General features: G+C 54.7%; 1 long non-coding RNA gene and 1 pseudogene across 2 annotated transcripts, besides 1 other annotated feature; one reads left to right on the top strand and one right to left on the bottom strand.

Annotated features, from left to right (window-relative positions):
* Positions 6577–6626: a silencer, noted in NCBI's record as "silent region_8334". NCBI's record gives its function as "represses an Ori minimal core promoter by ATAC-STARR-seq in GM12878 lymphoblastoid cells {active_cell/tissue: GM12878}" and the evidence as "EXISTENCE:reporter gene assay evidence [ECO:0000049][PMID:35858748]".
* LOC105371712 (uncharacterized) lies at positions 7176–11547 on the top strand. The gene is made up of 2 exons (XR_934641.2): positions 7176–7423; positions 9183–11547. It is a non-coding gene; the product is annotated as an uncharacterized LOC105371712 (long non-coding RNA).
* PPY2P (pancreatic polypeptide 2, pseudogene) lies at positions 9712–10557 on the bottom strand (annotated as a pseudogene). Its single transcript, NR_002181.1, has 2 exons — positions 10051–10557; positions 9712–9861 (listed from the first exon to the last, which is right to left on the bottom strand). The product of NR_002181.1 is annotated as a pancreatic polypeptide 2, pseudogene (transcript).
* Positions 11548–13721: the final 2174 nt, after the last annotated feature.

The raw sequence follows: 13721 nt of genomic DNA, 5'->3' as shown, positions 1-13721 counted from the left end.
TGATCCACCACACCCAACCCACTTTTGCTCTTTTACCATGGCTATGAGGTCAGGATGCCCCAGAATGGGGTTACTTCTTTCGGTGGGGGGGAGTCCTGGAATGATGTATATTCCACCCACACTGGGGGCCACCAGGGTATAGGACAGCAAACATTTTGAAGCAGCAGAGCTATCTCACAGTTTCTGGGAAGAAGGAAGGCAAGCTCTAATTCCAATTTCCACCCTGCTGCCAATATGTTGAATGACCAAGCCAGTTGCAGCCTCCTCATTAAACCATCATTTCCATATCTGGACAAAGGGGAGACTCTGCTTAGTTGGAGAGTAAAGCATATTGCAAAACGAGAGAAATTTCGGAAACTCCAGTTAGCAGGAAGGTAGGCCTGCATGTGGTTAGTCCATTTCATATAATCCTCCCAGCAACCCTAGGAGGTAGAGAAGATCACTCTCCCCAATTTCCAGAAGAGAAAAACCAAGGAAACCGCACAGCTATAAAGTCAGTCTTAGAATTTGGCAGCTTGGCTCCAGAATCGATGAACTTTGGATCTAGGAGAACAAGAAGTCTGGGATTGATGGCCTGATGGGAATTCAGCTCCTTCACCTTCATCCAACCATCCATCAGTCCTTCCTCCCTTCCCTTCTTTCCTTTCCTCCCCTTCCCTCCTTTCTTTTCCTCCCCTTCCCTCCCCAGGCATCTATTTGTAGCAGGCACCAAGTGGTCAGATGGTTGAAGGTCTATCTGGGAAGTATGGAAACATGTTAGATTGGTATGGGATTACCTGGGCAGCAACATTATGTAAGGGAGAGAGGGATGTCAGGGGACCTTGGCTGGGTGTCCGCTCAATGTGCACATCCCCTCTGCCGGCCTCCTCTTAGGAATGTGGCTCTCCTGGCCAGGCAGCGACAAATACTATGTGCGCTATTTCCCAAACTTCTTGGATCACAAAAGCTAGCCGGGGAATGTGGTAAATATACATATTTCCAGGCTCAATTCCAGACCAGTAGACTCCGAATTGCCCAGCATGGATCCTGGGAAAGTGTATTTTTAATAAGCACTCCAGATGATTTTTCTAACTGGGCAAGTTTGGGAAACAGGGTGGATAAGAAGAGCAGAGATCGGAATCTGGAAAACTTGGGTTTAAGGTCCTGCAGCAAACCTTGTTCCAGGAACTTTGGTTTCCTAATCTGTAAAATGGGGATGGGACCCCCATGGGGTCAGCCTGCCACCCAGAAGGGCAGTAAATGAAGCCCCCGAGAAGGCCCCCTTCCCTTCATCTGCCCCACGCCACCATCCCCAAGGCTCACCCATCTCCCTCTTCTTGCCCTCTCCAGCCTGACGGGGTGGGAGGTCTTGACGCCATTCCCAGGATTGGGCGCTGCGGTGGCCCCAACACGGGGTGGGGCCAACCTGAAGCAGTGTGACCTGCTGATGCTGAAGTTTTCCCAGCGGCAGAAGCAGCTCTGCTGGAGGGACCCCTACCTGGCTGAGACCCTGCGGGACGCTGCACACCTGGGCCTGCTCCAGTTTCAGTCCCATCCTGAGTTCCATCCTGAGTTCCAGCTCCGTCGTGAGCGCTGGAACTGTAGCCTAGAGGGCAGGATGGGCCCGCTCAGGAGAGGTGGGGAGGAGGGCCAGGGAGGAGGAGGGCTGGGAGAAGAACGCTGGGGGGAGGAGGAGGCTGGGAGAGGCCACCTTTTCCTCTTCCCTGGCCCCTGTGCCCAGGCCACACTGCCCTTCCTGCCCTAGCAAGTCCCAGATGAGAAGAGTCCTGGGAGGTAATAAGGGGCAGTTGAAGGCCAGGTGTGGCCCAGCCTCAGGTTTGGGGGAGCAGAGGAGCAAGGAAGATCCAAGAGAGGAGGAGACACAAGCCCGTTTTGGAGGAGCCCACAGATGAGATGGGGGGTCCCTCGGTTTCCTCCCTCTGCCTCTTCCACATCCACATGTGAAGCTAAGCACATGGACACGTGAGCATGGGTGGCAGCTGCTTCCAGGCCCGAGGAGGTGAGCCAGGCCATGTATTTGTTCGCTCATTCATCTGTCCCTTTGTCCCTTTGTGGGTCACATCCATTGATCCATGAGTCCCTCCTTCCCTTCTGCTCCTCCCTCCCTTCCTCCTGCCTCCCTCCCACCTCCACCCACCCCCTAAGCATCCAAGGAGGCCCACGGTGAGCTGGGCACTGTGCCAGATGCTGAAAGTTCAGAGCTGAACAAGACCCCAGCTGCCCTCAGGAAGCATGCAGTCTAGAGGGCAGAACACAGGACACCATGAGACTCCCTCACCAAGGGGAAAGGGCTTCTATGGGACTTTAAAAAAAAAATGCAGTGATGCTGTACAGGGCAGCCAGGCCCCTCCTAGGCCAGCTGCTCTCCACGGTCTGCAGCCTAGCTAATGGCCTCTCTCTCTGTCTCTCTCGGGATGTCACCAGCACCCCAGATGCACTGGAGGGCAGGTAGGAAGGAGTGAGCCCCTGGGAGGCCAGGTTTGGGCCACCCCCAGCAGAGAGGAGTAGCGGTGGTCCCAGAGTGGGTTGGATGGTCAGTCTGGGGCAAGTCAGCCAGGAGACTCAAGATCACTATTACTGGGTCTGTTCCACAGTGGGTAGCAGAGAATGATATTTGAGAACCATCATGCCTCACAGGAAGCCCACGGGGCTTATCTCAGGGGCCCTGGAAATGGGCCGGTCCAAATGGTCACACACCAACTTGGAGCCCCTGTCCTGCTGCTCTCTGGGAACCTGGGCACATACTCCACAGTGAATTTGGAAGGTCCATTTAAATGGCAGCTTTCAGTCAGAGTTTAAGGGGTGATTGACAGGGATACCCACCTGGAGCTGTGTCCTCAAGCCGCATTCCCTCGTCCTGCCCATCACAGCGCTGCCACCACTGCCTCCTGCCCTCAGAGGTTGGCAGGCAGCCTCTGAGCGTCCTCCTTTCCTTTCTTCCACCTTTCCTCCCTCCCCATAACCCTCCACAGTTCCCGGAATTAGTAAGGGAGTCCAGAAGAGTGAGGGGCTGAGAGCCCTCAGTGCCTGCAAAAGAGCCTGGGTTTGTTAGGACAGCTGAGACTGCAAAAGGACACATCGTTTGAGCTCTTGTAGGGGCGGGGGGATGTTCAGCACTGGGCTGTGACTAATGGGAATAAGGAATAGCCTGTTTACTGGTATTTAGGGTACACTGGTCCCTAGATATCTCCTCCCACCCTGTACTATGGAATTTTTTCATGGTAATCTCATTTCTTTTTCTAGAGATTATTGGCTCCATAGAAATGCAGTCTTGGTCTCACTTGGCTACTGAGCCATCCCATAAACTTCAGTGACATTGACATTGAGTTTCTCACACCCCCACCAAAAGCAGGGTTTTCTTGTTTGTTTGTTTTTGTTGTTGTTTTGAGACAGAGTCTTGCTCTGTCACCCAGGCTGGAAGTGCAGTGGCGCAATCCTGGTTCACTGCAGCCTCAATTTCCCAGTCTCAAGCAATCCTCCTACCTCAGCCTCCCCAGTACCTGGGACTACAGGCATGTGCCACCCACACATAGCTTTTTTTTTTGAGATGGAGTTTTGCTCTTGTTGCCCAAGCTGGAGTGCAATGGCACGATCTTGGCTCACCGCAACCTCTGCCTCCCGAGTTCAAGAGATTTTCCTGCCTCAGCCTCCCGAGTAGCTGGGATTAGAGGCATGCACCACCACGCCCATCTAATTTTGTATTTTTAATAAAGACTGGGTTTCTCCATGTTGGTCAGGCTGGTCTCGAACTCCTGACCTCAGGTGATCTGCCCACCTCGGCCTCCCAAAGTGCTGGGATTATAGGCGTGAGCCACCATGCCCGGCCACACCTAGCTTTTAAAAAATTTTTTGTAGAGACAAGGTCTCTCTATGTTGCTTAGGCTAGTTTCAAACTCCTGGGTTCTAGTAATCCTCCTACCTCAGCCTCCCAAAGTGCTGGCATTACAGGCATGAGCCACCATGCCTGGCCAGGAGCGGGTTTTAATAAGGAGAAGAGGCCAGAAGATGAGACACTTTCAGAAGTGGAGATGGGAGAAAGCGTTTCTTTCATGAATGGAGGGGCTCACGCCTGTTAATCATCTAGCATGTGCCAGGAGCTGTCCAAAGGCTGAGCTACATAATCCAAATCCATCTTCACAACAGTCCTAACCAGCTCCATTTCACAGATGAGGATGTGGAGGCTCAGGGGAGATGATGTCCCTTAATCAAGGTCACACAGCCAGGAGGTAGTGAATTTAGGATTCCTACCCAGAAGCCCTTGCTCTTCCTAGTGTGCCCCTTCTGGGGTTGGGGTGGGCACGAAGAATCGGCGCACATTTCACAACCTTGCCCCAGAAAGGTGGCAATATTGAACGGGTAGAGGCGACCTGACAGGCCACACAGCTGAGGCTCTGTGGCCTGAGGCAGCCAAGGCCTAAGTTCATCATCCAAGCAGTCAAGACCCACCACCCTCCAGAAGGCTTAGCAGGTCATGCCTCAGGGGCTCCAAAATGGCCAGGCAGGCTGAGAAAATCTCCAAGCTGTGCAGTGGGGCCTGCAATCCTGAAACCAGAAACCATAACCCCACCCCTTCCCCATGGCAGCAGGCCTAGGGAAGGGGAATAAGGGGTGCTGGGACCCCACAGCAGCCCTGTAAGGAAAGGAGGCACCTTGGATCTAGCCAGATGGGGAGGGGCATCTGGTCTCAGCATAACTCCCTGACAGTAGCCCCTGGGAAAAGCACAGCCCCCTCTCAACCCCAGAGCCAGTTTCTCCTTGGATCTGTATACTTGGAGCAAAACATTACCCTATTCCCCAGGCCTCCCTGCCTCTGCCACCCACACCTCTGGGCCCCTGGCAGGGACTGTGCCCTGGTCAGAACAGCTGGTAGCCCATGTGCTTCCACCCCCACCTTCTCTCTGTTCCGGACTTTCAGGTCATGACACAGGGGGAGGAAAAGAAGGCTGCGCTGGAAGTGGAACTTTAGCGGGAAAGGGGGCATGGATCCTTAGGAATATAAAGGGACTCAGGTCCTGGCCAGAGACGCTTTGCTGTGCTCCTCTGCACCTGCCCAGCACCATGGTAATGTTTGGGCCCCCTATCAGCTGTATTCTCTAGGAGCCTGGGGATGGGGGCTGACACCAAGGGCCCTCCTCAGGCTCACTAAGGGCATGAAGGGGTTAGGCCAGGGCAGCCTCGTCTGCCATTCTGATGGTCAGGACAGCTACTAAGGCTTCTTATCCCTGCTTGGGATGGTGGGGATGAGTGGAGTTCCCGGTTAAAAGAGGGTTGAGGGGCTTAGGAGCTCTGGGGGTGTGCATCATGTTTATGGGCATCGTAGTCTGTGAATCATGGTGTGTTGCAGGCACAAAATTCTCTGTGCATTGGGTGTGTGAATCATCAGGCTGGCGTTCCTGTGTGTAACTGTTAGTCATTCATTTAATATGTATTATTGAGTATCTGCTAAGTGCCAGGCACTGTTCTAGGTGCTTGTGATCCATCAATAGACAAAATAAGCAAAGAGCCCAGCTGCAATTAATGACGCCTACACTGAGGGAGGAGATGCCGCTGGGAAGGGATCGGACATAAATATAATAAATATAGAATATATAAGTTAGAAAGTGCAGGCCAGGTGTGGCAGCTCATACCTGTAATCCCAGCACTTTGGGAGGCAAGGCAGGAAGATCGCTTGAGGCCAGGAGTTTGAGACCAGCCTGGGCCACCTAGCAAGACTCCATTTCTACAAAAAATTAAAATTTAGCTGGGCATGGTTGTGTGCACCTGTAGACCTAGCTACTTGGGAGGCTGAAGCAAGAGGATGGCCTGAGCCCAGGAGTTTGAGGCTGCCGTGAGCCATGATCCCTACACTATACTGCAGCCTGGGCAACAAAGCAAGACCTTGTCTAAAAAAAAAAAAAAAGAAGAAGAAGAAAAAAGAAAGTGCAAAAATAGAGCAAGAAAAAGCAAGATGAAGGGTTGAGTTGCAATTTTTTTAAATTTATTTTTTAAATTGTTGAGACAGGGCTCTCTGTCTTTTGCCCACACTGGTCTCGAACTCATGGGCTCAAGTGATCCGCCCGCCTTGGCCTCCCAAAGTGCTGGGATTACAGGCGTCATCTACCGCACGCTGCCGGGTTGCAATTTTAAACAGGGGTGTCAGGATAAGACCCATTTAAAAGGTGGATTTTGAGCTAATGCCTCCAGGGGGCGACAGAGCCGGCCATGAGGATGTCTGGAGGAAGAGTCTTCTGGGCTGAGGACAACCTGACTGACACTTTGAGGGAAGGGCAGGGAGAAAGGAGGGCGATAAGGAATTTGCGGGAGAGAGGTCGGTGAGATTAGGGAGCTGACCAATGGTTTTATGCCGTCCTCGTGCGTACACCTTAGAGGTGTCTCCCCGTTCATTTTTACCTCGATGCTTTCTGCGTGCATCACCGGGCATGTCCAGGTGTGCACCATTCCCCTGGGCACCAGGATGTCCCTTAGGGCGTCCGTGCACTGGTGTGTGTCCCAGAAATAGCCACGTCCCTCGGCTGAGCGCCCCTGCACGCCAGGCTGCCCACGGCGCGGAACACCCGCAAGCTACCGTCAGGGATCGCGCCGACCCCAGCCGTGGGGTCACGTGACCGCCCGCGGCTCTGTCCGCCCTGCCCCCTCCAGACGCGGGCTCTGCGCTGCTCATGCGCTCTGGTCGTGGCCGGCCTCGTGTGGGTGCTGCTGCCGCCGGAGGGCGCCCTGGGCGAGGGGCTGCAGGTGCCGCAGCAGTCCAGGGCCGCCAGCTGGCTGAATTTAGGCTCGATCAAGAAGTACGTGGGGGCCGGGCGCGGTGGCTCACGCCTGTAATCCCAGCACTTTAGGAGGCCGAGGCGGGTGGATCATGAGGTCAGGAGATCGAGACCATCCTGGCTAACAAGGTGAAACCCTGTCTCTACTAAAAATACAAAAAATTAGCCGGGCGCGGTGGCGGGCGCCTGTAGTCCCAGCTACTCGGGAGGCTGAGGCAGGAGAATGGCGTGAACCCGGGAAGCGGAGCTTGCAGTGAGCCGAGATTGCGCCACTGCAGTCCGCAGTCCGGCCTGGGCGACAGAGCGAGACTCCGTCTCAAAAAAAAAAAAAAAAAAGAAGTACGTGGGGAGGCTCTTCAACAGCAGGTGATCCGGCGGAGGGCGCGAGGTTGGGAGGGAGGACGACGGAGGGTGCGGGGGGACACGGACGCCGCCGGGCACCCCCACGCGCATCGCGGCCCAAGCTGGGCTCTGGGAGCAGCCTCATGACCGCTGCAAAGACGTGTTCTCAGCACAAAGAAATCTAAAAACCACAAGAAAATTGCAAACGCCACGAACACCTCCCCACCGAAAGCCACGAAACCCCCTCCATGGACCACCACGAAACCCCAGTGGCTGAACACCTCGGAACCCCGACCACCAACCTCCTGGGGCCCCAGGTAGGACAGCCTGTACGGTCGGCACCGAACTAAGGGCCTCGGGACTGGGGGCAGCTTGGGTGGGAGCGAGAGGAAGCCCTCGGGGGTGGGCGTGCGGGGAGATACTGGCGCCCTGGGGCTTCCTTCTCCAGGCTGGGGCTTGGCCTCCAGACGCCTGGCCCTCCACCAACCCTTTTATATTGAGAGGGGCCTCAACCCTTCCTCATCCCCCTCAGCGAAAACAACAAAGACAAATCTCTGTTGATTCAGTGACTTCTGTGGGCCGGGGAGGGACCAGTCCTTCGATGGGGAGGGGGAACCCTGGAGTTCCTGCTGTGGGAGAAAAAACCTCAGCTGCTGGGTGGAAGGGTCCTCCCCTCACTCCCCCAGCAACCTTCCCCCACCTCACCCCACACACCACCACTAGCGTAGGGGAGACTCCAACGCAGAGGGAGGGCAGAGGTGAGAGAAGTGGGAACCTCAAAGGAGAGCTTCAGCTAGACACACCCCCAGTCCCACCTCACCCAAGTTTCTACCAAACAGCCCAGCTTGGGCTGTCAGAGTTGGCACAGCAACAAAAAGAGGTGCCTTTGCCCCTTACCGTGCAGAGTATAGGGGGCCGCCTTTGCCTCCTGAACTTCTAAGCTCTTCTAGGGTGAGCAGAGCGGGGGAAGGGGTGGACCTGGCCAGGGCCTGTCCCTGAGAAGCTGGGCGTGAGGGTGGCTCTCTCTCTTCTGGGGGCTCCCTTGGCCATGAGAGAGGCTTGGTGGGGGCAGAGCCCCTTGCCCTGATCCTACTCTCAGACCCAGGTATGTCTCCAGGTTGCGAACTCCTGGCTCTAGGAAGTATCCACACCTCTCCCCATTCTCACCCCATCCCCTTAAGCTGCCAGATAAAATGCTGGGACTTCAGGCTCCCTTATTCAGACTCAAACTGTTCTCTTGCTGAAGCCATCTCTCTATCCAGACACCCCTTGGATTTAAGAATCAACCTGAGGTTGGGCATGGTGGCTCACACCTGTAATCCGGAGCACTTTGGGAGGCTGAGGTGAGCAGATTATTTGAGCTCAGGAGTTTGAGACCAGGCTGGGCAACATACCAAGACCCTGTCTGTACAAAAATAAAAAAATTAGCTGGACATGGTGGCATGTGCCTGTAGTTTCAGCTACTTCAGAGGCTGAGGCAGGAGGATCGCTTGAGTCCAGGAGGTCAAGGCTACGGTGAGCTGTGCTCATGCCACTGCACTCCAGCCTGGGTGACAGAGCAACACCTGTCTCCAAAAACAAAAAATCAATCTGAGCCAAGCAGCTGCACCCTCTTAAAGCTCTTTGCCTTTTAGGACCTGGTTCTACTTCCAGGTCATTTGCACACACCAGATTGAGTCAGGACTTGAGGGGAAACACAATTGTGGAGTCACTTCCATGGGGTCTGTGCAAGGTGCTGAGCTCAGGAAAGTGGACCCCTCATCCTCCAAACCCATAACCCCATCCCTTCAGGCCAAGCATGTGGGGGAGGCAGGAGAAGCCATTCTAGGAACCAGACACATTCTAGTTTCCTCACTTCTCCCCTTTACACATACGCACACATGCGCGCTCTGTCCCCACCTATTCAGGATGACTGAGAAGGGCCAGGAAGAGACAGGTGCACTGGGACTCCGGGCAGTCCTCCTTGGGGCAGGATCCAGGTCTTTGCCCTCCCAGAGCTGGAGTGTGGAATCCACAGATTGGATTCATGGCAGTGGCTGGAACTCTCAGCTAATCTAGCCTCCTCCCTTTCCACAGCAGCTTGAATACCTCCTGCGCCCAGGATTTCACTACCTCTCCGGACAGCCCATTCTCTCCAAATTTCTGGACGGCAGCTCAGGCCCCTGGATGCAGCCATGACTGCCATAGCACCAGAATTGTGCCTCCATGCTGGGCTGATGCCCCTGCCCCCATGCCAAGGATGCTTTAGTATACCTTTTGGTGCTCCTGCTGCCTCAGCCACAGGAACGCACTGGTGCACTTGGGGCAGGGTTGTCATGGGGCTGGGTTGGGAGGGTCTACAGGTGCTGAACTGGGAAGATTCAAGCTCAAGACTGCCACTTCACCGATTGCCGAATGACCACAGAGGAGTCCCTGCCTTCCTCTGGCCACAACTTGTCCCTCTGTGGAGAGGATGAGCTGAGTGACTGATGACCTCATGGACGTTCTGGATGATTTACAAGCACAGCCTGCTTTCCCTGTTGCGTCCGCCCTGCCCTCCCCTTTCCATGCATTTGGCTCTTCCTGCTGCCCCCCACCAGGGGTCCACAGAGACACAGAGATAAGCTGTGCTTTGACTTGCTTTATTGAGCCTGTGCAGGAACAGGGAGTGAGCTTCGGCCAGAGCCAACAGTGTGGAGGGGAGAGCTGGGCTGGCACTGCCCGTGGAGTGGTAGGGGGCGGGAGGTAGTGTTACAAGTCCAGCGGGCTGAGCTCTCTGTGAGGACAGAGTGGAACATGGCAGTGTGGGGGGCAGGCCTCGTGCGTCAGGAGGCCTCAGGCCAGCCCTGGGCTCCTGTTCTCCCTCTTCCACCCCCCACCACACCTTTTCAAACCCTGATTCAGTCCCACCATCCCCATTTCACCCCCAGGGAGCTGGACAGACAGGGTAGGGAGTCGAACTCACCTGGGGGCAGCAGCATGGGAAGACCCCACTCTGAGAAGGCCAGCGTGTCCTCTTTGTCTCTTTCTCCATACCTGGAAGCACTGTGCCCAGGTGCCAGCCCACCGGTTTCATATCCGCCTGTAGGCACCCTCTTGCCCAGGGCACATGGGCCCAGGCCTGGTCAGCACAGATGCTCTGTTTCCCCAAGAGTGGCCTGGAAGGGGCTGGGACTGGGGCTGGAGATGGGGCTTGGGCTGGGGATAGGGTGTGGCCAGGAATGTGGAGTGGGCCCAGGGTCCCAGGGGCTGGGATCTCTCTCCTTGTCCATGGCACATGCCTAGGCTTGGTCAGCATGTTGATGTATCTACGGAGCTCAGCTGTGTACTGGGCCATCTGCTCCGGTGTGGTATTGTCCCCTGGGTACAATGGCTCCAACGGGGCTCCCCGGGCACCCAGCAGTGGCTACAGCAACAGAGCCACACAGGTGGACAGGAGCAGGAGGGAGAGGCAGCGGCATGCGGCAGCCATCTGAGGAGCTAGCAGAGGGGAGGTGGAGGTGGAGGTGGAAGAGCCCATGCTGAAGATTTTCCTATGCCCCGGAAGCAGGGCCCATCTACCCAGCCGTTTAGCCCATCATCCATTTCTCCAAGCCTGGGGACGAGAGGGCAGAGAAAAGGGCCACTCCGAGCTGACCACTCCACCTCCTAGACAGTGTGCTGGAGGCACGGACAGCCTGTCCTGTGAGCAGCCCAGCAGCCAGGGCCTCGCAAGTTAGAGAAGTGTAGCAGAGAAAATGGAGACATGAGTCCTGGAGACACATGTCTCATGACATCCAGGTCCTCATGGCTCTGAGGCAGCAGTAGCTAGTGGGAAATAAGGGCACACCAGGTCACCCACAGGGTGTGGGACATGGAATGAACTGGGGAAGCAAAGGACAGAAATCCATGGTCTTGTGGGTCTGGCCCTCCACCCAACAGTAGAGACAGATATGGGTTCTGGAGAAGACATCCTGCACAGACCGGCACAGCCACTCACACAGGGACACATTCCAGTTCACAGCCATGCACACGAGTGTGCACACACACTTGCAGTCATCTGATGGCTCTCCTAGTGTGACAGGTGTGTCCAGATGCAGAGCAATACCCAAGCAGGACCTTAGGGCTTTGAAGGCCCCTGGCCCTGCAAAGCACGAACTCCTTCCCTCCATCCCAGACCCCAGCCTGGGGGAGTTCTCCAGATCCCCAAGCAGGCTGAGCCCACTTACCCAGAGTCCAGAGTAAACGGTCACTGGACCAAGCAAGGACGTGTCCCTGCCCTCAGCTGGGCCGCTTTTTCAGTCCTCAGTCCCCTAGAGTCCCCGTCTCCTGTCAGCCTCTCCCACTCCGCAGCCCTTACTCCCTCCTCCCACTGTCTCCCTGGTACTCGCAACGCCACTACTGGGCCAGAGATGGGAGGGGGACGGGAGTGCTGGGGGTGCCAGACTAGCAGCATAGTCAATAAAACTGGATCACAGCAAAAGTCTCCTGTGGGCCCCCATTGCTGAGACCCCTTCCTTTTGGGCACCAGAGCAGGCTTGGTTCAAGAAAGATGGGGTTATGGGACTTCAGGGTGACTGAAAGGTTTTGGTCACAGGCCTTGGAGCTGGCCCTCCCATCTCCCAAGGATCAAACCAAATCAAATGGATTCTCTCGGGGCAGAAGATTGAGGCTGCAGCTGGAGCCTCCAGGATGAAGAATGGAAACTCAGGCCATCCTTTGCAGTTTGGAACTAGAACAAGGTGGGAACAGGGAAGAGGCTTCAGGTCCTCAGGCAAGGTGGAAAGAAGTGGGGTGCCAGGTTTGGAGAAAGCCGTTTGGTGGGTGCATAGGATGCAGAATGAGAACTAATGTGCCTAGGTTCAGGGGAAAGGTTGAGGGGGTACCAGTTTCTGGTAGCCATCCTAGAGCCCCCATTCCAGCGGAGTGCTAAAAACCAGCATCATTTGTAAAGCCTCACCTTTTCCAAAGTGCTCCCAGCTCAGTCACCTCACTAAATCCCCACAACAACCCACTTTACAGATTCAGGTTCCAAAATCTGCACAGAAATGTCAAGTAACTGACTCCAGACCACACAGCTAGTCAGTGGGAGATCCGGGGTTTGGAACAAAATCTAACTCCAAAGTCTAACTCCAAACCTGGATTGTTTTTTTTTCTAAGTGGGACTGTCAAAGTATTGGTATAATTTCCCAATTTTTTGCTGAGAAACCTGAGGCTCACAGAGGTAAAGAGGCTTGTTCAAGATCTCATAGCTACCTAGGTCTCCAATTCTGGCTTAGATTCTCAACCCCACTAACCCATCCCCACCAGAAGCCCCCAGGTTTCCCCTGCCCAGTGTCTCTTCCCAACCCCAAGTCTCCCTCCCCTGCTCAGGCCAAGGAGTGGTAACTGTGTCTGAATGACACGGTGACACCCAAGTAGGGAGAAAAGGACTTCTCAGTGCTGACGTTCTGCTGTCCCAGATCAGGACACCAAGAAGTTGGTGGGGGTACTGTTGGGGAAGAGGGGGCCAGAGGTGAAACTCCATGGATCTGGCAGGGTGAGCTTAGAGTCAGATAGACCTGGGTCCAAATCCTGGCTCCGCCATTGGCTGGTTGCATGAGCCTGGGAAAGTAATTTCTTTAGCCTCCCTGAGTTTCACTTTTCCTCTCTGTAAAATGAGCTCATCACATCCATCTCAAGGTAAGGAGAATAAAGGAAGGCTCAGCGAACATCAGTGTTCTGCCTTGATCCTCTCAATTTTTTTCTTTTCTTTTTTTGAGATGAAGTCTCACTCTCACCCAGGCTGGAGTGCAGTGGCACGATCTTGGCTCACTGCAACCTCCGCCTCCTGGGTTGGAGCAATTCTCCCAATCAGCCTCCTGAGTAGCTGGGATTACAGGCACGTGCCACCACACCCGACTAATTTTTTATATTTTTGGTAGAGATGGGGTTTCACCATGTTGGCCAGGCTGGTCTCAAACTCCTGACCTCAAGTGATCTGCCGGCCTCGGCCTCCCAAAGTGCTGGGATTACAGACATGAGCCACTGTGCCCGGCCGATCCTCTCAATTTTGATTTCTGGTAACAAGAAGAGCAATAATGCTTCACCAGACAACTTACATTCCACAAGGCAAATATGAAAGTTGTTCTGTCTCAGCAAACCTGGGTCTTTCTCTGGACTGAGGTTTTCCACTTGCAAAACAAGGTGTGAACTGGTGGCTGGTCTCAGGCTGGCCTTGGGTTTGGTGGGTAGAGGCTGCAGCTCACCATCATGGGGCACCAGGCTCCAACCCTAGTTAAAAGGGTTGAAGCTTCCACAGGACCATGGCCTGGAGGGACCTGTTCTGGCTGCTATTCGTGTCGGGACCCAGCCCCACCTGACAGACGTGGGTCTAGGGATTGACTCAGATGCCTGGGCCACTTATAGTTCTGTTCTGTCGCAGAGATAAACCTAAGTGTCTAAGAAATAACAGGTACTCCACAAATGTCAGCCAAACTGCACCTTTCATTTTCTTCTTTGCAAACAACAGATTCCTCTTCTGGGTCCTCTCAGAGATGTGTTGACAATCTAGGAGGAAGTGGTAGTGGATGTGCTTTCTATACTGCATGTCCATGTGTATTAGTCCGTTTTTCATACTGCTATAGAAAACTGCCTGAGGCTGGGCGCGGTGGCTCA

Source organism: Homo sapiens, chromosome 17 (genome assembly GCF_000001405.40).
Source record: "Homo sapiens chromosome 17, GRCh38.p14 Primary Assembly".
NCBI lineage: Eukaryota > Metazoa > Chordata > Mammalia > Primates > Hominidae > Homo > Homo sapiens.
Note: the sequence above shows the minus strand (reverse complement) of the source record. Positions and strands in the feature narration are given on the sequence as shown.